Here is a 24,810-nt window from a genome sequence, read left to right on the forward strand (position 1 = left end):
CCAAATACTGCATGTTCTCACTCATAGGTGAGAATTGAACAATGAGAACACATGGACACAGGAAGGGGAACATCACACACTGGGGCCTGTTGTGGGGTAGGGGTAGGGGTAGGGATAGCATTAGGAGATATACCTAATGTTAAATGAAGAGTTAATGGGTGCAGCACACCAACATGGCACATGTATACATATGTAAACCTGCACGTTGTGCACATGTACCCTAAAACTTAAAGTATAATAAAAAATAAAATAAAATAAAATAAACAACTTCTTGGCCGGGCACTGTGGCTCATGCCTGTAATCCCAACACTTTGGGAGGCTGAGGTGGGTGGATCACCTGAGGTCAGGAGTTCGAGAGCAGCCTGACCAACGTGGAGAAACCCCATCTCTACTAAAAATACAAAATTAGCTGGGCGTAGTGGCGCATGCCTATAATCCCAGCTACTCAGGAGGCTGAGGCAGGATAAGCTCTTGAACCCGGGAGGCAGAGGTTGTGGTGAGTCGAGATCGCACCATTGCACTCCAGCCTGGGCAACAAGAGCGAAACTCTGTCCCCCCACAAAAAAAAGAAAAAAAAAAACAACTTCTTAATGCAGGAGAATCGCTTGAACCCGGGAGGCTGAGGTTGATGTGAGCTGAGATAGTGCCATTGCACTCCAGCCTGGGCAACAAGAGCAAAACTCTGTCTCAGAAAAAAAAAAAAAAAAAAAAAAAATTAATAGTAAAGCCAACTTGCATTACTCAGATAGGTTCTATTTGGTCACGTTATATTGTTACTAGAATATACTTACAGATTTGCAGTGCCAGTAATTCTATTCTTCACCTTTGGTTTCCATTCTAGCCTTTAGTTTCTTCTTTTACGTTGTTTTTATCCTGGGAATAGTCTATTCCCCAATATTTGAATAAAATTGCCTATAAAACTCTTGGAATCCAAATTAATTTTAGCAAAGTAATTATTTCACAAATTTTTAAAAGTCTTTGTTTTTGCTGCATTCATCTTACCTATTTCTTTTGGAATATTTTCCTTTACAATTGCCATTTTGCAGAGATATTCAAATTTGTTTGCATAAATTTATTTGCATCTTCTGTTTTAATCTTCATCTACATATTAATATTTTTGAGTATTTATTTGCTTATTTTCTTCTCTGTCTACTTTCTAGAGCTCTTCTTTCCAACATGATGGCCATTAGTCACATGCGGCAATTTAAATTTGGAATAACTAAAATTTAATAAAATCAAAAATCCACTTCTTTAGTCTCACTAGCACATTTCAATGTTCAATAGACACATGACTAGTAGCTGCTGTATTGCATAGCACCAACAGAATTTTCCAACATTACAGCAAGTTTCACTGGACCGTGCTAGTCTAGAGATTTGTTAATTTCATTGCCTTTTTAAAGTGGTAGTTCTTGAACTTAGAAACTCTGCTACTTTCCCATTTCTAATTCGTCTTTGCTTTTAGATTTGATATTTTCATTCCCCTACTTTCAATAGATTAGTCTTCCACTTTTTTCCCTAATTTGTTTTTTTGTTTTTTTTTTTTTTTTTTTTTTTTTTGAGACGGAGTCTCGCTCTGTCGCCCAGGCCCGACTGCGGACTGCAGTGGCGCAATCTCGGCTCACTGCAAGCTCCGCCTCCCGGGTTCACGCCATTCTCCTGCCTCAGCCTCCCGAGTAGCTGGGACTACAGGCGCCCGCCACCGCGCCCGGCTAATTTTTTGTATTTTTAGTAGAGACGGGGTTTCACCTTATTAGCCAGGATGGTCTCGATCTCCTGACCTCATGATCCACCCGCCTCGGCCTCCCAAAGTGCTGGGATTACAGGCGTGAGCCACCGCGCCCGGCCCTAATTTGTTTTTTAAATCAGAGAATTTCTATCTATGGTTTTGGCTACATGTCACCCGTTTGACATGTCAACTTCTAAGAAGACAGCAATGGCAATGTTTATTTCCCAGAAGTTGTCTATTTTTGAAAACATATTCCCAGTAGTTGTTTTTAGTGGTGGTGTCGCTTAAACTTGTCTTCTTCCTTTCTTTGCCTTTTTTATTTTCTAGGTAACAATATAGTCATTATATGGATAGTTACATAATATGTAATTAATTAATGTAATAATATTACATATTATATGACTATAATATGGTAACTTTGTAACAGTATAGTCAGAGAGTATGTCCTACATAATCTAATCTTGATTTAATCTAATCTGATTTTTTGTCATCTAACTCATGGGAATTTTTGTAACTATTTCATGGGCACTAATTTAAAGAAAAGGACCATATCTAGCATAGCACGCAAGATCTATCCTATGGCTGGAATAAGGTGTAGCATTTTCACATCTTCATTGTGGACGGCATCCCTCCTTCATCGATAGAAAATTACTCATTTTGCAATTTGTTCCTTGAATTCTGCTTTTTAGAAAGTTGATCCTACCAGAGCTAGCTCCTTTTTATTTGTAATTACCTGAAACATTCTTGCCTATCATTTTTGGTTTTAGTTTTTCCTCTTGAAACAATATATAGCTGTAATGTGTTTTAATCCAGATTGGGAAACTATTATAATTTTCTTTTCTTCTTTCTTTCCTTCTCTCTCTTTCTCTTTCTCTCTCTCTTTCTTTTATTTTCAGAGACAAGGTCTCACTATGTCACCCAGGCGGGCCTCCAACTCCTGGGCTCAAGCAATACTCCTGCCTCAGTCTCTCAAGTAGCTGGGATTACAGGTGTATGCAGCCATGCCTGGCTGATAGTTATCTTTAAACTTAAAATTATATATTCTTATATTATGTTTCTCTTATATTTTTATCAACATCAATAACTTAATAGTGTCCACTTACTCCTATGTGTCTGAGGTGATGAGATTACCTTTCCCATCTCTTTCTTTCCCTCTACTCACTTTTACTAATATTATGTGAATTTTTAGATATTTTGCTAAATTGTTATTTTAATATTAAGATGTATCACTGTTAAGAATTATGATGGTATTTCACATAACATTCTGTTTTCTAATTTTATGTCCAATAAATATTTGGACTTAAAGATACATTTACCTGGTTTTGGTGCTCAATACTTCTTTAACGTAACAATTTATAATCTAGAGCAACACTGTTCAATGGAACAGATGCAAGTTGCATACGTAATTTTAAATTGTCTAGCAGCTACATTCATTGAAGTGAAGACAAACATAAATAATTTTAACAACTTTAAGCCAATAAATCAAAAATCTGGTCATTTTAACATATAATCAATACAAACAATATTAATGGAATTTTTATATTATTTTACTTTTTCTCAAAATCCATTGTGTATTTTACACTTACAGCACGTCTCAGTTAGGACTAGCCACATTTCAAGTGCTTAATAGCCACATTATGCAGGACAGCACAGTTCTACAGAATTTATTTTGATTCCTGTTTCAATTGGCTGAAGTATATCCTTGAATTCTTTCCAAGAATGGCATGGTGGCTAATGAGATACACAAGAACAACAACTTAGGTATAGATTTATTGAATTTTCATTAAATTCAACATATTTCTCAGCTGTCTTATGCTATTTGCATGCTGTAGAAGAGAATTAGGAATAAAGTCTGATAGGTTTTTTTTCTTTGCAGGCAAACATTTTTCTTTATCTTTGTAATTCAAAAATGTTGCTAGTATATATGAAATTGGGGGGGGATTTTACTAAAAAAAATTATTTCTATTGAACACAGGGAGCCCTTTTAATCTGCAAACCCAGGTCTTACTTTCTTCTGTTCAGGCAAGCTGCCTTCAATTTTTTCTTTGTTGCTTCTTTTCCAACTTTTCTCTCAGCATACATACGATTCATTTATTTATGTTGGTTCTTTCTTTTCTGACCTCCTACTACCTTTTCTCATCATTTTCAATTTTCATCTATTTTCCAAGACAGTGTTTTCAAATTTAACTTCTAATCATTGATTAAAATTTTGTTGCTGTAATTTTTATATTTCAGTGAGGATTTTATTTTAATTCCTATGTCACATATTTTTATTTATCTCTAACTCTAAAAACACCTGTTTCTCTTCTTATGTCTTTCTGCTGCTATCTTACCAGGGCTACATCTTCTCATTTCTTTGGGGGAATGCAAAGTAGGATTTGCATTTTTCTTTGGGCTTCTATATTCAGAAGCCTACCTTTCTTCTAAGTCTTTAGGATGGTATTTTCTTTCCCTAGTTCTTCAGATTTTATTTGAAGTTTCATTTTAGATTTATCCCTAGTTTAATCATTCTGGAGTGCAAAAAAACTCATAAAGAGCTTGTTAATTTTCACAAGGCAAGGTATGTGTGTTACTCTAGATTTTATTCATCATCTATTTGGGCACCATTTACTTGAGCTGTCAGCAGAAAGAATCAAGAATAAGACTAACATTTGTATTCAAACAGCTAGTTATCACAATAAGCAATGCATAACCCAAGCCTAAAGAGTTAGAAGCAAGAATGGGACTCAACCTGCTTCAAAGCAAAGCATTACATCTGTCCTTATCCAACTGATGTGCACAGCCCAGAGATAATTTTCAAAGTCTATTTAGAAATTCATCTGGTGCAGTGGATCACTATATAGTGAGACCATCAATTCCAAGAGGAAAGGTCTCCATTACTCTTTGTCATACATAAAAAGAATGAATCTGTTCAGCAGAGTAAAGATGTACAAAAGATTAAAGGGAGACTGTTTTGAAGAACTTCAACAGCATTCATTTAGTAGACTAATTAGAACAAAAGCTTATCTGTTAGCAGTGAAATACACTTGACAAACATTTTCTTCATGGTTAGTGTAAGTTGGATACTTGAGAGGTAGAAGACAGCATTTTTTAAAAATTTTCTATAATTTATACTTTCACTAATTCAGACACTGCCTCCCCCAAAATTAAGTGAAAATTTTTTAATGCATAACTACCTTGAAGTATGCCAATGTCTGCAAAGCATGCAAAAATCCAAGTCTTACCATCTGTTGGATGATTCATTTGTAAATCTGCCTAGTATTCCTTTGGGAAGTTCCAGGGCTGATTTTTAACCTCATTATAAAAATTTGGTGGGAATGAATTCAGGGATATAGTATATATGATGTGCTCTGAGCACTTGGAAGAGTGTGCCACATTAATCTGAGTCATGTTTAAATGGGATATGCACTGCAATCAAAAATAAAAGCGTTTGAAAGTAATTGAAGATTTAGGGTTTTTATCAAGAGTTCCAGAAAAAATAGAGGCTTTAGGGTAATATACAGATCACAGAAAATATTTTTTTCTACTTTTTGCCCAAACTAGCCTTTGCTGATAATAAAGACACTAAACTCCTATGGGAAAGAACTGTGACTTACTCATTTTTGAACCCCCACACCCAGAATGTCCTTTCAAGGTTAACTTTTGTATCTACTTCTAAGATGTCTTCTTCTGAGGCTATAGAAACCACATTAAAAACTTGGTTGAACATCTCATCAGCCTTGTCTTTCTTCCACCTGCTTCAATTACATCATGCATGGGCTTTCTTTGGCTTCTGACCCAACTGGCTTCACATCTTCACCTCCTTTCTTATTAGATTGCTCTATTGGATTAGGGAACCTAGCTTCATAAAATGTACTGACCTGGAAATTAGGCAATTATTTCATGGGTTTCAAGAATCGCAGCTGCAAATGTAAGAATTTCATTAGGGCCCCCAAAACTACACAGTTGAAGAGGGAGTTGTTCATAGCTTAGTCTATAGGATGATGTTCCCTGGACTTGCACATTTCACAGCCTACAAAACTGTATGTGTTTACTCTGGGCTTCAGTCCATGGCTTAGCCACGGCCTAATGCACACCATGGCAAGAACTGTAGCACCTCCTTGGTCTACCTGCCTGTCCAGGGGAGGTGTGCTAGACATAGTGCTTGGCACACTATTGAGTTGGTGCTCCATAAGTATTTGTTGAAAAGGAGGCATCACAGGAACTTATGACTGATAAATCATGTGGTCTTGTGTAAATTAATAATGCATCTGAATTCTGTCTAGTAGAGTAACTGAGTATGAATCTCTAAGAACTTCCAGGGGATGAGTGGATTTTCCCTCCTGGTTTGGAGTTGGCACAGATCTTGAATCTTTTCATTCACTCTGTTTTCAGTCCAATTAAACAAACATTTATTGAACACCTACGATACACTGACTGGTGGGGCAGTTTCTGCTTTCAAGGAACTCAGAATCTAGTGGGGAGACAGCCATTAAAGATATACTTAGGATACAGTGTGAAGCAAGCAATACTATAACCATGCAGAAATATATAGATGTCAAATAAAGGAGAAAGTAATTAATTTTATCCTGGGGAGTCAGGCCAGGCTTTGTAGAAGAGGTGGTCTATGATCAAAGTTTTGAGAAATGAGTGGGTTTTCTTGGTGATCAGCAGAGGGAGAGGATTTTCCATGCAGAAGGGACAGCATATGCAAAGGCATGGAGAAGTGAAATATCCTGGGAGAGCAACTAGTTAAATTTTTCTGGGGCTTAAATGGTGAATTACTGCATGACAGAGGAGGTCAGCTTGAAGGAGCTTATGTGGTACTCTAAGGGCTTTGACTTTATTCTGCAGGCCGTGAGAAGTCAGTGAAGATGTTTTCAAATTAAATTCTTTTAATCACTCCTTCTTTTGAGAGAATTGTAAATTCACATGCAGTTGTAAGAAATAATATGGAGATTCCCTGAACTGTTTATGAAGTTTCCCCCAGTGGTGACATTTTGTAACACCATAGTACAAGATCACAACCAGAATGTTGACATTGATGCAGTCAATTTACAAAGATTTCCATCACCACAAAGATCCCTCATGTTATCCTGTTATAGCCTTACTCATTTTCCTTCCACCCTACCCCCTCTTTTAACCCCCAACAGTCACTAGTCTGTTCTCTATCTTTATAGTTGTGTCATCTCGAGAATGTTATACAAATAGACTCACACAATATGTAACCTTAGGGGACTGGTTTTTTTCACTCACTGTAATTCTCTGAAGAGTCATCCAGGTTGTTGCATGGATCAGTAGCTCATTCCCCTTTCTTGCTGAGTAATAGTCCAGCACAGTTTGTTTAACCATTCATCTGTTAGAATACATCTGGGTTGCTTCCAATTTTTGGCTACTACGGAAAAAGCTGCTATAAGCATTCATGTAGGTTTTTGTGTTAATATAAGTCTTCATTTTTCTGGGATAAATGCCCAACAGTGCAATTGCTGGTCGTATGGTAGTTGTATGTTTAGCTTTTTAAGATACTACCAAGTTACTTTTCAGAATGGCTGTATCACCAACCATGTATGAGTAATTCAGTTTCTCTGCACCCTCAGCATTTGGAGTGATCACCATTTTTATTTTAGCTGTTCGGGTAGGTGTGCAGTGGTATCTCATTGTGGTTTTAATTTGCATTTCATTCTTCATGCATTTAATTTGCATTTTCCCTTTTCATATCTTTTTATGTGTTTATTTGCCATCGGTATATTTTCTCTGGTGAAATGTCTGTTCATGTTCTTTGACCATATTCAAAATGCATCGTTTGCTTTTTACTGTTGAGTTTTGAGAATTCTTTATACATTCTAGATACCAGTCCTTTGTTGCATATGTGGTTTGCAAATATTTTATCCCACCTTGTAGAATGTCTTTTTATCCTAACAAAATCTTTCACAGAACATCAATTTTTAATGTTGATGAAGCCCAATTTATCAATTTTTACTTTTATAGATCATATTTTTGTGTCAAGTCCATTTTTCCTAGTCCTAAGTCCCAAAGATTTTCTGTTTTTTCTATAAGCTTCACAGTTTTATATTTAGGCCCATGATCTATTTTGAATTATTTTTTGTTTAATGTGTAAGACAGGTCAAGGTTCGTATTTTTGTTTACAGATGTCCAATACTGAAGCACAGTTTGTTGAAAAGGTCATATTTCCTCCATTGAATTGCTTTTTCATCTCTGTCAAAAATCAGTTCAGCATATTTTTGTGGATTCATTTCTGGGTTTTCTATTCTATTCTATTAATTTGTAAGTCTGTGCTTTCACCAATACCACTCATCTTGATCAATGTAGTTATATAGGCCTTGAAATCGAGTAGATAGACTCCTCACACTTTTTTTTCTTTTTAAAAATGGTTTAACTGTTCTACTTCCTACGATTTTCTGTATACATTTTAGAATACTCTCATCTATATAAAAAATCTTGCTGGGATCTTGATAGAAATTGTGTTAAATCTGCATATAATTATAGGGAGAACTGACATATTTGCTATGTTTCATCTTCCAATCCATGAACACAGTATGCATCTCCACTTATTTAGATGTTATTTGATTTCTCTCATGGCACTGCATAGTTTTCAGCATACAAGTCTTGTACCTACAAGTGTTGTTAGATTTACATCTACATATTTCACCTTGTTATATGTTGTAAATATGATTTTATTTTTATACAGGAATAGAATTGATTTTGTATGTTTATCTTATATACTGTGACCGTGCTAGAACTCATTTATTAGTCTAGAAATTTTGTTAATTAGCTTCCTTGGGATTTTCTATGTAGATAACCATGTCATCTGCAAAAGGGACAATTTTACTTCTGTCTTTTTTATCTGTATGTTTTTAAATTTTTCTTTTCATCCCTTATTACACTGGCTAGAGCTTTCAACACTATGTTGAATAGGAGTGGTGTAACTGAACATTCTTGCCTTGTTCTCATTTTTAAAGAAAAGCATCCGTTTTTGCCCTTAAATATAAAGTTAGTTGAAGGTTTTTGTAGATCTTCCTTATCAAGTTGAAGAAATTCCCCTAAATTATTATTTTTCTGAGAGTTTCTATCATGAATGAATATTGAATGCTGTCAAATATTTTTGTGCATCAATTGATATGATCATGTAATTTTTCTTCTTTAACCTATTAACATGGTGGATTATACTGATTGATTTTAGAATAGTGAATGATACTTGCATCCATAGAATTAACCCTACTTGGTTGTGTGGCATAGACTTTGTTTTATATATTATTGAATTCTATTTGTGAAAATTTTGTTAAAGATTTTTGCATCTATATTAATGAGATTTTGGTCTGTAATTTTTCTCTTTTTGTACTGTCTTTCTCAGTTTTGACATCAAGACAATGTTAGCTTCATACATGAATTGAGAAATATTCCCTTCTCTTCTATTTTATGGAAGAGATTATGTAGAATTGATGTTAAATTTTCTTTAGAAATTTGCTAGAATATTTGAGTCACACCATGTGGACTCAAGAGATTGCGGGGGGAGGACAGCTTTTTATTACATACTACACTTTCTTAGTATAGAGTTATAAGGCTATTCAAATTATCTACTTCACATTGGATGAGTTTTGGTAGTTTATGTGGTTTTTTTTTTTGGTTTTGTTTTGTTTTTTTTTTTTTTTTGAGACGGAGTCTCACTCTGTCGCCCAGGCTGGAGTGCAGTGGCACAATCTCCGCTCACTCCAAGCTCCACCTCCCAGGTTCACGCCATACTCCTGCCTCAGCCTCCTGAGTAGCTGGGACTACAGGCGCCCGCCACCACACCCGGTAATTTTTTTGTATTTTTAGTAGAGACAGGGTTTCACCATGTTCGCCAGGATGGTCTCAATCTCCTGACCTCGTGATCTGCCCGCCTCGGCCTCCCAAAGTGCTGGGATTATGGGCGTGAGCCAGGCCAGTAGTTTATGCTTTTTAAGAAAATAGCCCATTTCATCTAAGTCATCAAATATATCTGTGTAGCACGGTTCACAGTATTCCCTTATTATCCTTTTGATATCTGCATGGTCTGTGGTGATATCCCCTGTTTTATTCCTGATATTCATAATTTGTGTCTTGTGTTCAATCTATTGTTGAGAAAGATCTGTTGATGTCTCCAATTATAATTGTAGATTTTTCTATTTCTCATTTTAGGTCTAACAGATTCTACTTTACATATTTTCCAACTGTATTGTTTGGTGCATAAATATATAGGATTGCTATGTCTTCCTTGTAGGCTGACCCTTTTATTATTATATAATGTTTCTCTCTGCCTCTGCATTTTCTTCATTCTGAAGCCTACATTATCTGATGTTAATATAGCCACTACAGGTTTCCTTCAATTAATGTTTGCATGAGCTGTCAACCTGTCTATACAGTCATATTTGAAGTGAGTTTTTAATAGCACATAGTTGGGTCATGTTTTTTAACCCACTCTGCCAATCTCTGTCTTTTAATTACTATATTTAGACCATTTACATTTAATGTAATTATTGATATGTCAGGGCTTACATCTTCTTTTATTTTTTATTTCCTGTTTGTCCTCTTTATTTTTCATTTATCTAGTTTATTTTTCCTGCCTTCCTGTGGCTTACTTGAACCTTTTTTAGAATTCCACTTTACCTATTGTGTATCTCTTTGCATCATTTTCTCAATAGTTGTACTAGATATTACACTATATATACATAAATAACTTACCAAAGTCTTCTGATGTTATCATTTTGGAAGTGTAAGTAAAATGTGGAAACCTTACCTCCCTTTACATCCCTTTACTTTCTCCTCTTTGATATAATTGTACTAAATATTTCCTATACATACATTTAGAACATTATCAAATAGTGCTAACATTTTTGCTTCAACCATCAAACATAACTTAGAAAACTCAAGAGGAGAAGGAAACATTATTGGATTTAGCCACATTGTTGCTTACTGTGTTCTTTCTTCCTTTCTGATGTCCCAAGGTTCCTTCTCTTATTGTTTTCTTTTTGTTTAGAGAACTTTCTTTAGATATTCTTTTAGAGTAGGCCTGCTGGCAACAAATTCTTAGTTTTCCTTCATTTTATAATGTCTTTATTTCCCCTCCATTTCTGAGGAATATTTTTGCTGATTAGAGGGGATTCTAGGTTGACAGTTCTACCCTTTTAGCACTTGAAAAATATTGTGCTTCCATGGCTTCTGATCAAAAATCTGTTCTCATTCAAATTGTGTTTTCCCTATGAGTAAGATGTCTCTTTTATCTGGCTGCTTTCAAGATTTCTCTTGAGATTTTAGAAGTTTAATTATGAGGCTGGGTTCAGTGGCTTATGCCTGTAATCCCAGCACTTTGGGAGGTCAAGGCAGGAGGATTGCTCGAGCGCAGGAGTTCAAAACCAGCCTGGGCAACATAGTGAGACCCTGTCTCAAATTTTTAAAAATAAAATAATAATAATAATAATGAATTTTGGCATGGGTTTCTTCAGGTTTATCCTGTTTGAACTGACTTTCTATGGCACAGATTAAGCAAAGGAATATGGTGCACTACCTTATTATGCCAGATAGAGGTAGAAGTTCAAGTTCCCTACTGGGCTTCCATTGCTCCATTGACACCTGAGGAAGGATGTAGCTTTGTTATCGCTGGGAAGGGGTGAGAGTTTCAGCTCCCCACATGGTCTCTACTGACACTGTGTATGGAATGACCTCATTATCATTGTACAATGCTATAGTCCTGATTCTCCTCTAGGCCTCCCCTGACACTCAGCTCAGCAGGGAGGAAGAGGGATGCTTGGTTACTGTCAGTTAGAAGTGGCAGCCTAGGTTCCCCACATATTCTCCACTGACATCATGATGGGAGGAAGGCTGATTTAGATGAAAGGGCCAGCTCTCTGTTTAACTTTTTCTGATGCCATGCCAGCAAGGGTGTTGAGATACCTTGTTACAGCCTTGTGAGGGTGGACATCCAGGTTTCCCAGCAAGCCTTTTTTGGAATGGGTGAGGATGGGGCCACAGCTTTTTCTGTGATGTTTGGAGGGAGTAGAGTGTTTATTATCTAAAAGTTTTCTGTCTTGCTAGGCTTCCCCTTTCCTGGTCCTTAGGTAGAGAGTAGAGTTATGTTAGGGCTCTTTTTTTGGGTACCTGTTGTCATTTCCAGGTTTTTATCTTTTTCAGCTCGAAGTCTATGGTATATGATAAAAAAAGAAAACTCAGGGAACTCATCACCATGTTGTTTCTTGGGTCCCAAGTCGTCTAGTCACTCTGTCTTCTTCTTTTTGCCTTCAGAGTATTCTTTTGTTTATTTTGTATATAATATCCAGGGGTTTTAGTTGTAATTCATGGGAAAAATAGGAAAATGTATGTCTATTTTATCTTCCTAGAATGTGTGTGAAGGCTTTTAAGAGGGAGAATGACATGGTCAGATTTATCTTTTAAAAGATTGCTCTGGCAGGGAGGAGAATTGATTTCACAGAGGAAGACGGAGACTCAGTGGAATCCATTACATAAGGAATGTAAGGATTTAAAACAAAGTTGTAGCTGTGAGAATAAAGTAGAATGATCTGAATAAGACAATTCAGTAGTCAGGATCAGTGGAATTTGGTGACTGATGAGGGAGAATAGAGATGCATATATGATTTGTAGGTTTTCAGTTAATATTGCCTAATAAATAGGATGGCACCAATTCAGTTAGAAAACACAGGAGTAGGAACTTCTATAGGGATGAGGAGAAATTATGAGTCCAGTTTGGAAACTAACACTTTAGGGGTTTCTATTTTCTTCAACTTTTGGTTAATAAATAAGTTTGGCAGTTTTTTTGTGATGACAATTTTCCATCTTAAGTATGCTTCCTTCAACTAGAAATTCAGAGAATGGGATGCTACCCCTTTTCTTAAAATCTAGCTCTCCAAATAAGATACACGAGTGGGCAATAAGCATATTAAAATATGCTAAACATTATTAGTCATTAGAGAAATACAAATCAAAGCCACAATATATCAATATTTCACACACATTAGGGTTAAATTTATTTAAATAACCATACCATGTGTAGAGGAGGATTTAGAGAAATTGGAACCCTCATACATTGTGAACAGAAATATAAAAGAGTAAAACCACTTTGGATAACAGTCTGGAAGTTCCTCAAAATGTTGAACTTAGAGTTACCATATAAACCAGCAATTCCATTCAGAGGTATATAAGCAAGCTAAATAAAAACACATATACACTTTTTAAAATAATATACAAATATCCATAGCAACATTATTCACAAGAGCCAAAAATTAGAGACAACCCAAATGTCCATTGACTGAGGAAAGGAAAAATAAAACGTATATCCATACTAGGGAATATTGTCCTGCAATATAAAGGAATGATTTGCTTACACATGTTACAACATGGATGAACCTTGAAGACATTATGCTAAATCAAAAACATAGCCAGTCACAATAGACCACATATTGTATGACTTCATTTATATAAAATGGCCAGAATAGGCAAATCTATAAGAAAAGAAATATTTAAATAGCCTTCTAGGACTGTGGGTATGGATCTCAGATGAAAAGTAACTGTTGGGCACAGGACTTCTTTTTGGGGTGACAAAAATTATCTGAAATTAGATTATGTTGATGATGGTGGCACAACTCCATAAATATATGAAAAATCATTGAATTATGCCCTTTAAATGGGTAAGCTTTATAATATGTGAATTATATTTCAATAAAGCCATTTTTATTTTTTAAAACTAAATAGCAGCAATCATCTTAATATTCATTTTAATTTTTAATTGTGAATTACATAAATAATGGTTAGTCCTTGTATCCTATATTCATTCTTCTTTCTGGATTCAACAGTCTTCCTGAGGTATATCCTTTAGCAGTTATCACAGGAAGGACGTATATGATAAATTCTCTCAGAATGAGTTTGCCTGAAAGATGTCTTTATTTTGCCCTCACTCTTAAATGATATTTCTCTCAATTTAAAATTTCAGGTCAACAGTATTCTTCCCTCATCTCTATACAAATATTATTCAATTTGACTTCTGGCTTCTAAATAAACTATTGGGAAGTCTACAGTCAGTCTAATAATTAATCTATGATAGATACATCAGTTATGATTAGTTATGTCTGAATAACAGAAACTCAAAATTCCGGTAGATTAAATGAAATAAAAGCTTATATCTCTGTTACATAAAAATCAGAGATAGAAGTTTATATCTCTGTTGAGTGAGATGTAAGCCTTTCAGAACTGATATAGCAGCTCTGTTTCACAAAATCTTTAGATTACCATTCTACCAACCCTTGGGTTTGAGCATTATCACTGTGGTCCAAGATGGCAGCTAGAGTGCTAAGCATTACATTTGTGTCCTAGGCAGCAGGATGAAAAAGCGATAAAGAAGAAAGGGGATGAAGACTACACAAAAGCCTCAAGAAAGTTTCCAGAAACTTTTCTTTGACAGCTCTGCTTACATTCTATTGACCAGAACTTAGTTACATGGTCACACCTAGCTTTAACTGTTTTTGGATATGGGGACATAGGCCCAGCTAAAAACTGAAGTTCTTTTAACATAGAAAAAAAGAAACTCAGCCGGGCGCAGTGGTTCATGCCTATAACCCAGCACTTTGGGAGGCCAAGGCAGGTGGATCACTTGAGGTCAGGAGTTTGAGACCAGCCTGGCCAACATGGTGAAACCCTGTCTCTACTGAAAAAAAAAATACAACAATTCGCCGGGCATGGTGGCGCATGCCTGTAGTCCCAGCTACTTGGGAGGCTGAGGCAGGAGAATGGCTTAAACCCAGGAAGCGGAGGTTGCAGTGAACCAAGATCGCTCCACTGCACTCCAGCCTGGGTGACAAGAGCAAAACTACCAAAAATAAAAATTTAAAAAAAAAAACAAAACACTAAACTCGTAGTCTCAGACACAGTAGGTAACCTGTCTTTTCTCTTCAATTATTTTTGGTGTTTGCCCATCGTCTATACTGTTCTGCAGTTTCATTATAATGTATCTGCCAATAGATTTTTTATTTTCCTGATTGAAACTGGGTACAATTCATTAGTCTGAGGATTCATATCACTAGTCAATTCTGAAAAATTCTCAGCCACTAGATCTTTAGTTACTATTTTGTCCATATTCTCTCTGGTCTTTCATTCTGAACTCCTACTAAATGTGTGCTGGCCTTTCTCATTCTGTCTTCCGCAGTGTTTGACCATTCTTTTACATCCACCATTTCTCTATGCTACATTTTGGATAGTCTCCTCAGATATATATTTCTTCTGGTTCATTATCTCTCCTTTTAGTCCTATTCAACACAGTTGGTAAACTGTGTTTGGGTTTTGTTTTGTTGGGGTTTTATGCTATATTTTACATTTCTTGAAGTTCTACGGATTATCTTTAAAATTTTCCATTTTTTCCAAGGTCTTGTTCCTTTCTTAGAGTTTCAACTCATTTTATATCTTCTGTCATTTTTAAATAGACCTAGTCTTTTTTTTTCCAGTTTGTCATTATACCACAGGTTGAACATCCCTAATCCAAAAAATTGAAACCTAAAATGCTCCAAAATTCAAGGCTTTTTGAGCACCAGCATGACATCACAAGTGGGAATTTCACATCTGACCTCACATGACAGGTTGCAGTTCAATGATGATTTAATGTACACAAACTTTGTTTCACGGATGAAATTATTTAAAATACTGTGTAATGTTACCTTCAGGCTATGTGTTTAAGATATATATGAAACGCAAATGAATTTTGTGTTTAGGCCTAGGTCCCATCCCCAAGATATCCCATTACGCATACACAAATATTCCAAAGTCAGAAACAAACTCAAAATCCAAAACATTTCTGGTCCCAGGCATTTTGGGTAAAGGACACTCGACCTGCATCTCAAGTTCTTAGGCTCTAATTATCTGTGTTTGCTGACTCTTGCTCATCATGGAGGACTGCTGCCTCTTATAGGTTTTTTGTTTTATTTTGTTTTTAATTTTGACTGTGAGCTCATACTTAGTTGGTCTTGTTTTCTCCATGAGAATATCTTATGACTTGGGTTGTATTTCAAAAGATTTTTCATTTGATTCTGCCATTAGTAGCCCAGAACTAATGTTTGTTAATTTCTTAGGCTCAAAGTGTTCCTGGACCTTTCAGGTAGTTTCAATTGCCCAGGGAAGACTTTTCCTCAAGAGCCAGAAAAGCCAAGCAAGTTACCTTATTACCCCTCTATGCTAATGGGTGCATTTTGTTTTCCTGATCTCTCTTTTATTAGAAACATAGACCTTGTTTCAACTACCTATTGATGCGTAACAGATCACACCAAACTTGTGGCTTCCAACAACAACAACTACCCATTTTGCTCAAAAACTTGCACTTTGGGAAGCTCTCAGAGATGGGCTTTCCACAGGGCCTCTGTTTCCTCACAGTATTATGGCAGTGCTCTAAGAACAAGTATCCCAACAGGCAGCAGGTGGAAGCTGTTTCTTCTGATAATCTAACTTTGCAAGTCACATCATATCATCTCTGCCACATTTACAGGCCACCCAGACTCAAGGGAAGAAAACAGAGGCCTCATCATCTCAGTGGGAGGCTTGTCAGCATCACATTGCAAGAAGAGCATGTGGGATGGGAGATATAGTTACAAATATTTTTGGAAAACACAATCTGCCATATGTTTTAAGAGTCCGAGTTAGGCAGAAGTTTCAGATCCAACTTCTCCACCCTGCATAGCCAAAGGTCTTATCTCCTCTCCCCATGTAGATGTTAAAACATGTGTTACTAGATTCCATGGACTTAACAGCACCACCCCCATGCAGCATAGCTGCAAAATCTGCACACATGTTAACAGCTTACCGTACTGATATTAAATTCTTCCTTCATTGCTGGCACCTGTGGGGTTCCCTTTCTTTATTGCAAGTTTAACTGTGCATTTAAAAGCATTTTTAAAACATTTCACTCAGCATTTCTATGTGCTTGTAAAAAATGAGAAGGTTTTCAGGTTATCCTCGTCTGTCTCTTGCCGAAACCTAAAACTTCATCTTAACTTTATTCAAAGGAGTATATATTGAGAGGATAGAGGAGGAGGTGCTTGGAGTGCAACAGCCAAGTCACGTCTTCCTTGCCCTCCCTGGGGTTACATTACATACAAAAAAAATTCTATTCATATTTTTCAATTATCTAAGCGTGTACACATGTAGCAAGGGTAAATATTTGCTATTATCTCAATAGGGGTACAGCATTCCCATTAAGGGAGCAGAAACTGGTCTGCATTTAGGCAAATATAAGTTGAAAGGAGTAGGACGTGAGATGCTGAGGACAAGGGTGTGAGCAGATCCATCAAAGCAAGAGAGATAGTCAAGTGGCTGCTCTGCATGAGAGATCCCAGGAGTGGCTCTGATTCCTAAAAGGGAGGTGGAAATAAAGGGTAAAGAATGGAGGAGGATGAGGATAAAAGGATGTACAGTGGTAGGCCAGGAGCAGCATGGGCAAAGCAGTCTTTAAAATTTTTATTGGTGGTAGAATGGCTAAATGGACTGTTGAAAATCAAACTGAATTTAAATGGTCTGTCTGCAATTGCAGTGCATATTGTGGCTCTCTCTTGTTCATCCCTTCTTAATCTTCAGTCAAGCTCTGCTTTGACCAATGCCTTTGGTTACTCTCCAGAAAAAGGAGGAGGAGGAGCTTCGTAGCACATCTGAGACTATGTCAGAGCAATAGGAAGATAGCCAGAAGCAAATAGAGGAAAGCAATCGACAGAGGTAGGAAATCAGGGTCAGAAGAACACCACCATCCCAGGTACTCACGGAAGCATCAGGGAGTGCTCTGAACTTCCAAATGTCAGCACACAACAGCAGTGTTAAGCCTCTTCACCTAGATCTCAATGGACTTGGAGCTTCCAGCTGACATCTGGGTTACATGTATCATCCATAAACTCTTAGAAGCTACTTATGGAATCATCAGCCAGTCCACTGGTGGACCACTGGCTAACATATTAGGGACCTAGGGATATGTCTTTGTATATATTTCAAAGACTCTATCAAGCACATTCAAAAAGAGAAGGCAGAGTGAGTCTCAGTGTCCTGCCCCTTACCCCCATACACATGCCAGTCCATCACTCTGACCACAACCACCAATGCTTTCCAGGACACAGTGAATATTCCTCCGCTGGATGGGCTCCTGCAAAGAGCTCATGACCCCATGACAGGGATGTCATACAAGGGATTTGAGCTTTAGACAGAGTGGTGAGCACTGGACTGGATCATTTGTAAACTCTACTTTAACTTGAAATCTTTCAAATCCCAATGAATACATCTGTTGACTGAACCAAGCTGATCGGCTTGCCTGATAACAACTGTGTTTGATGAAAGGGGTGGAGAAATGGGGTAAGATAAGGTGGTGAAGTCCCCTTGTGGGCAAGCAGAGAAATTTTGGGTCAACACAAGTTGGGGTCTAACTGTGGCTCTGAAACATGGATGTGTCACAGGTCACTGGGGGAGCTTCGAGAGGATGATTATAAGTGTAGATAAGAAGCTAGTAGCCAGCTGTCTTGTGTTCTTTTGTGTTGCTTGCGTGGTTGATTGATTGGTTGGTTTTTGTGGTATGAAAACTTAACATGAGAGCTATCCTCTTAATGTATTTTAACGTGAACAATACCATATTGTTAACTACAGGGATTATGTTGTACAGCAGGTCTCCACATCTTATTCATCTTACATAATAGAAACTTTATACCCATGGAGCAACAACTTCCTGTTTGCTCCTCCCCACACCCAGCTCCTAGCAAACACCATCCAATTCTGCATTTCTATTAGTTTGACTATTTTGCTTGCCATAGCACCCTACATGTACGTGATCTCATCTGTCCTGGATCCCTTATATGGTTCTGTCTCAAACGTAGTACATGCCCCCGAGAACACTGAAAGCCCAGCCACCAGCCACACAGTCCCCCACTCATGGCATTTCTCAGTCGTTCCTCCCACATATTTCTTCTTCTTCTTTTTGTCTTCATCCATCCCCAGTTCAAGCTCCCTTCTTTTGTCACCAACCCTCCTAGCCATAACAACTGATCTAGTAAAGTTCCCTGGCTGAACTCTAGCACTGTCTCGGACATGATTTTGAGTTCCCTCTGGGGCTCCATACATGGCATCACCATGTCATAGGTGCTGCCTCCCTCTATTTCAACCAACCCCAGCGATCACCCCACTGCACATCTCTGCCTTCCATTTCCCATCTCTGCAGAGGGAAGGTGATCATTCACCCAGCACAAAAATACGAAGGGCCGCCCCTTGCTTCACTCCCCCATCCACCCTAAGTACTCCAGCTCTTTCACAGGAAAATCTATTTCCAAAAATACCTGGATTCTTAATTAATCTCTATTTTCTTATTGCTTTTGATACCGCTATAGTAGTCCCCCATTATCCGAGGGGGTACGTTCCAACAACTGCCTGAAACCAGGGATGGTGCCTAACATGATTGCTGTTAATCAGAACACGATTCTGCTCATGTCTACCCTCCGCAAATTTAATAACACTTCCATCTTAACTAAGCACTTATCCTGTCCTGTGGCCATAACTTTTGCAGCTTTAGTGCAACAACAAAACTAGCACGAATTTCTGTTTCCTTCTTTACAGTTTCACAGATAGAAAATTCGCTCTCCCTGTGGATCTCAGCAACCTTGGCATACAGTTTTTTTCTTTATTAAGTCAAGAACTTTCACCTTTTCACTTAAAGAAAGCACTTGCTGGCTTCTCTGTGGTGTATCCAAATTGCCAGCATCAGTACTCTTGCACTTTTTACTAAGTGCACTTAGAAATTGCACTTAGGCAATTACTAAATAAAATAAGGGTGATTTGAACACAAGCACTGCAATCTGATAAACGAGAGGGCCCCTAAGTCACTAACGTGTAGGTAGCATCTACACATGGATCCACTGGACAAAGGGAGGATTAACATCGTGGGTGGGGCAGAGTGAGATTTCATCTCGCTATTCAGAGCAGCACTCAAATCAAAACTTGTGAATTGTTTATTCCTGGAATTTTCCATTTCATATCTTCAGACCGCTATTAGCCACAAGTAACAAAACTGGGAAAGTGAAACCGCAGATAAGGGAGGACTTTTGTATTTTCTTGTCCACGATTGCTCATCTTGGGGGAGAAATTAGTCCTCCCTCAGGAAAGCAACCAGAACTCCAGCATACAGCTGCCCAGCCACAAGAGCTCTGTGGGCACTGTCTCCCTCGCTCGGGCTCCTCCAATGCCCTGGACTCCTGACAGAAGCTCTGTCCAATGCACTGAATGCAGCGTCTTTTACGTCCTCTAGAGGAGAGGGATGCCACCAAAATCTGGGCTTTTTCTGCCACACTGTGGCCACGTCTGAACACTACATGTGGCCACGTCTGAACACTACATGTGGCCTTCATTCCCTTACATGTGGTATTTGGAGTTTTTTCCAATGAAGATTAGAAGTTACCTTTTTTACCTATTATCCCCATTCAGACCCTCAAGCCTCAGCTAATGCTCACTTTCTCCAGGAGGACTCCCTTGAATTCACCTCCACACCAGGCTGGCTGAAGCGTCCCCGTTCTGACTCTCCCAGCTCCTCCTACCAATTGCTAGCATTTCCTTCCACATGCTGTATTGTAGTAGTCACTTCTGTCTCCCTAATTAGACTGCAAACCCTTTGAAGACAAACCAACTCATCTGTGTTATCTCCATGGCTCACAGAAGAACAGAAAAGTCTTCAATAAGTATATATGAAATTAAAGAAAAAAGGGAAGAAGAGAGGGGAGGAAGGCTGAAAACTCAAGGTAATAACAACCAGCCACACTTATTGAGCGCTTGTGGTATACAGTCCCTGTGCTTCATATAATGAATTCCAGGTTATCAGGGCCAATATCCACCTCTGCTGCCCCAGCTTCATCCAGCAATTAAAGGGTCCATGTCTGTCCTGTCAGGGGTCTCCTGGACTCTAGTCCTTCACATAGTCCATGACCAGCATCTGTTCTGATGTTCAGTGACCACGTCACATGTTTTCAAGTATTTTAACATTCACCCTTGCATGTGATCATCCACAACAACTTGGAAATAAGCTCTAGCATTGAGGTGAATCTGGCTGGGCTTCTGGGTTGGGTGAGGACTTGGAGAACCTTTCTATCTAGCTAAAGGATTGTAAATGCACCAATCAGTGCTCTGTGTCTGGCTAAAGGTTTGTAAATGCACCAATCAGCACTCTGTAAAAACGGACCAATCAGCACTCTGTAAAATGGACCAATCAGCACTCTGTAAAACGGACCAATCAGCACTCTGTAAAATGGACCAATCAGCAGGATGTGGGTGGAGCCAAAAAAGAGAATAAAAGCAGGCCAACCCCCCAGCCAACCCGTTTGGGTCTGCTTGTGCCCTGCAGAAGCTTTGTTCCTTCCCCCTTTGCAATGAATTTTCCTGCTGCTGGCTTTTTAGGTCTGCACTACCTTTATGAGCTGTAACACTCATTCTGCAGTTTCACTCCTGAAGCCAGCGAGACCATGAAGCAACCCCAAGGAAAACAACTCCAGACATGCCACCTTTAAGAGCTGTAACAGTCATTGCCAAGGTCTGCAGCTTCACCCCTGGAGTCATTAAGATCGTGAACCCATCAGAATGAAGAAACTCCGGACACATCTGAAAATCTTAAGGAACAAACTATGGACACACCATCTGTAAGAACTGTAACACTCACCAGGTGGGTCCATGTTTTCATTTTTGAAGTCAGCGAGACCAAGAACCCACCAGAAGAAACCGATTCTAGACGCAGTACTGTTCTAGGATCAAGGTGTGGAAAATGTGTTTTTAGAGGGGTAAGGTTACCTGCTCAACGCGGCACAGAATTCATAATTCTGGACACAGAATTCAAACCCCGGCTTGACCCCCAGAGCTTACATGGTGGCTGCTGGGGACTCTCCCACTAGCATGTAGGAGACCTTTGAGGATATATTCTGGGGGGATTTGGGGATTGTGTATGCTGATAATGGGACGGCTCACTGATTAGGATGCAGAGGAGCAGGGGGAAAGGAGCAGAAAGGGGCCAGTTTATGCAGTCTTCAATCAGCGTTTTTCTCTAGGTCAGGTGCAGTCAACCAGACACGGCCCATGGGCTCAAGGAGCTGACTGTCTAATAGAGACCGACAGTTGCATAAAACAGACATGTCTAGAGAGGAGGGTTTTTAGGGCCTGGCACTGGAGGGCAGCTTCACCAGCATCCCAGAGAGCAGGACTAGAAAGGGACCCCACAGCCAGCTGACTTCATCCCAGAAGTCCCCAATGTCAGGAGCCACAGTGGGTTCCAGGAGCTCCTCACCAAGTTGAGGCCTGGACCTGAGCAGGGGAGATCAGCTGTTCCCCACACTGCCCTTGTGGCTACGATGCGGTACCCACATGGGGTACTTTCCATGCGGCACCCATGTGAGGTGCCCACCATGCAGTACCCACATGAGGTATTCTTCTAGCTCACCCTGCCCACTGCAGAGCATGGCAGTGCCCACACCCGGTGGCTCTCGCCCCAGGACAGCTGGCCTTGTGATAGATGCCATTCTCAAACCATCTGCTGGTTGGAAGCTGGTGTGCCTGCATTCACACAGCGCACTCAAGTCAAGGTCAGTCTCAACTCTTCACTGTCCTGGACACTGTCATTCTCCCAGCATTTGTGAGGGGAAGAGATCCTCTCTGCTTCCTTTGAGTTCCCTTCCCTCTTCCCTAACCCTCACTTCTAGGAGAATGACTTCCCCATGTTACTGTATGTGCCCACAGTTGCTAGGCAGATGCTCTAACTGAAGTCAGGTTGATTGGAAGCCACTGCTTGAGCCTGCAATGATGGGGCAGGGGTGGTGAAGGGGCCTGGTAGATCCAGAGTCTCACAGGACTAACTCCACAGCATCCACCACCAGAAGCAGCCCTTCCCAAGTCCCCACTCCCAGATCTCTGCTGACCTCTAGAGGGTCCAGCCATCACAGCACAGGCTCTGGCCACCCGCCCCCGCCAATCCCCGTCGTGCCTGATTCCGTACTGGGCAACGCACACTGTCAAGGCTGTCTTGTTGGACGCAAAAATTAGAGAATGTTGCAGTACTTCATCTTCCAGTCTCAAAAAAAAAAAAAAAAACTTATCATCCGAATCCTCCCAATCTTCCCAAACTGAACTCTTCATTCACACCACACAATGAAGGTCAGTTTCAAGGTGGTAAAGTGAAGTAAGCATCAATCGGACATTGCTACATTAAAAATAATTTTTTTGCCTTCCTAAAAGTCATCTAATCTTTCCCTCTCTAGACTACAAAAGGACTTAGTAGCTCACGTGCCATCTGACTTTTTCCGGAGTATGGCAATTAACTCAGGAGCTTTTTCGTTCTCCTTTTTTTTCCCTGTATCAGTCCAACCTAACTGGTTTGCCACTAATTACTTTTTCCTACACAGATACGTGTTCATCATGTCCTCACCTGTCTCAAGATAATAAGCTTTGAAGACACATCATCCTTTCAACCCAGTCATACAGTTGAGAAGTTCACACAAGAAGTTACCTTCCTTTCTCTGTGAAGGGACAAATTGCCTCAACTCTCATGCAAGGACCGCCCTCCCCCCAACCTTCGTCTGTCTTGTAGTGAGCCTCTGGGACTCCCATGGGGGAAGGGGCACCCAGCACAGCCCTCACAGCGTGGTTGGGTCACGATTCATGCTTATTTATTTGCCTGACAACTGCTCAGGAGATGAAGAAAAAAATGGGATAAAAGCATATTCTTCAACCTCGTTGAGCTGTGGGATGAAATATCTATTTTGCAAATAATGATTCCAGGTAGGAGGGCAGTGAGGAATGGGGCTCATGAGAAGCGAGTGTTTTATTACACAATTTCTAAAATATGAGCACTTCATGCTCTTTCATTATCGTACATTATTACAGTTCTATAAAAATCATTTCTAGGAAATCAATCCCAACGTTTCAAAGCCTTCCAAAAAGAGCTGGGAGGCAGAGTTTAGAAGAAGCCTGTAAATAGAGAAATTATACTTTCAGCTTTATGTAATAAGATTTACTATGGCACTGTCCACACTCAGACCTAGTCAACCCTGCATGAGGAATGCAGTGACTAGGGATTTATAGAGTTCCTCCCTGGCCACAATTTCAAAAGACAGCAACATTTTTGACTGACCTGGAAAAAAGTCAGATGGCACGTCAGCTACTAAGTCTTTTTGTAGTCAATACTAGAGAGGGAACGATGAGGTGACTTTTAGGAAGGCAAAAAAAAAAAAATTAATGTAACAATGTCCAATTTTGAACATTTTCCAGGTGCGAAGACAGAGGCCCAGATAGTGTGAGTGAAATTACTTTTAGTGAAAGCCAGTGAGGCAGTGATAAATCCGTTTCTATTTACAGTTGTACGATTTCTCCACCTGGTGCATAGTGGGTTTGGGGAGCGTCTCCACTCCACCCTCATCCGTCTCTAGTATTTTCCCCCCCCTTCTTTGGAATCCAGGTTTTCGTTCCAGGAAGTGCATTAACTTGCGGGATAATTTGCTGATCACACTGGTACAGAAACCATTGAGAGGCTTTAGACTCCTACTCATAGGGATCAAGACCTGGAGACAAAGGAGTCAAGGGAAGCCCCATGGCCTAACCACAGCCCTAGGAATATCCCCAATGCCTAAGGAAACCCATTCAATCCATCTAAGCTTCAAAGTGTCACCAAACTGAGGAAAAGCCAGTGGAGTTAGTCCATAAGTCCACTTTGAATGGTGATGATGCCTTCATAGCTACAAGCATTTCACGTACCTCTCCTCACTTTATCTTCATAAAACATTCATTGAAAGATTGAAAGGATAGTCCTAGCACAGCACTTCTCAAACTCTAATGTGAACAGGCATCCCCTGTAAATGTGTTAAAATACAAATTCTGACTCAATAGGTCTGAAGGGGTGGTCGGGGGACTGAGGCTTCATGGTTCTAAAAAGCCCCCAGGTGATGTCGATTCTGCTGCTCTGAGGACCATACTTGGAATAGCAAAGGCTTAGAGCACAATTTGGAAACCACAGTTCTAAGGATTGAAAAGGCAGTAGCAATGAGTAGCTCACCAGCCTGGGCTCAAGTGGGATGTTAACCAGATGATAT

At 39.2% G+C, this 24,810-nt stretch overlaps 1 protein-coding gene across 9 annotated transcripts in view, besides 1 other annotated feature; it reads right to left on the bottom strand.

Annotated features, from left to right (window-relative positions):
* PDE1C (phosphodiesterase 1C) overlaps window positions 1-24,810 on the bottom strand; it is an 811,448-nt gene that overhangs the window by 567,780 nt on the left and 218,858 nt on the right. The gene's annotated exons all lie outside the window — the stretch shown is intronic.
* Window positions 20,585-21,784: an enhancer, noted in NCBI's record as "BRD4-independent group 4 enhancer chr7:32244753-32245952 (GRCh37/hg19 assembly coordinates)". NCBI's record gives its function as "activates an origin of replication core promoter dependent on BRD2, P300/CBP, MED14 and CDK7 cofactors, and independent of BRD4, by STARR-seq in HCT116 cells {active_cell/tissue: HCT116}" and the evidence as "EXISTENCE:reporter gene assay evidence [ECO:0000049][PMID:35650434]".

The sequence above is a fragment of the Homo sapiens genome, chromosome 7 (assembly GCF_000001405.40).
Source record: "Homo sapiens chromosome 7, GRCh38.p14 Primary Assembly".
NCBI classification, from domain to species: domain Eukaryota; kingdom Metazoa; phylum Chordata; class Mammalia; order Primates; family Hominidae; genus Homo; species Homo sapiens.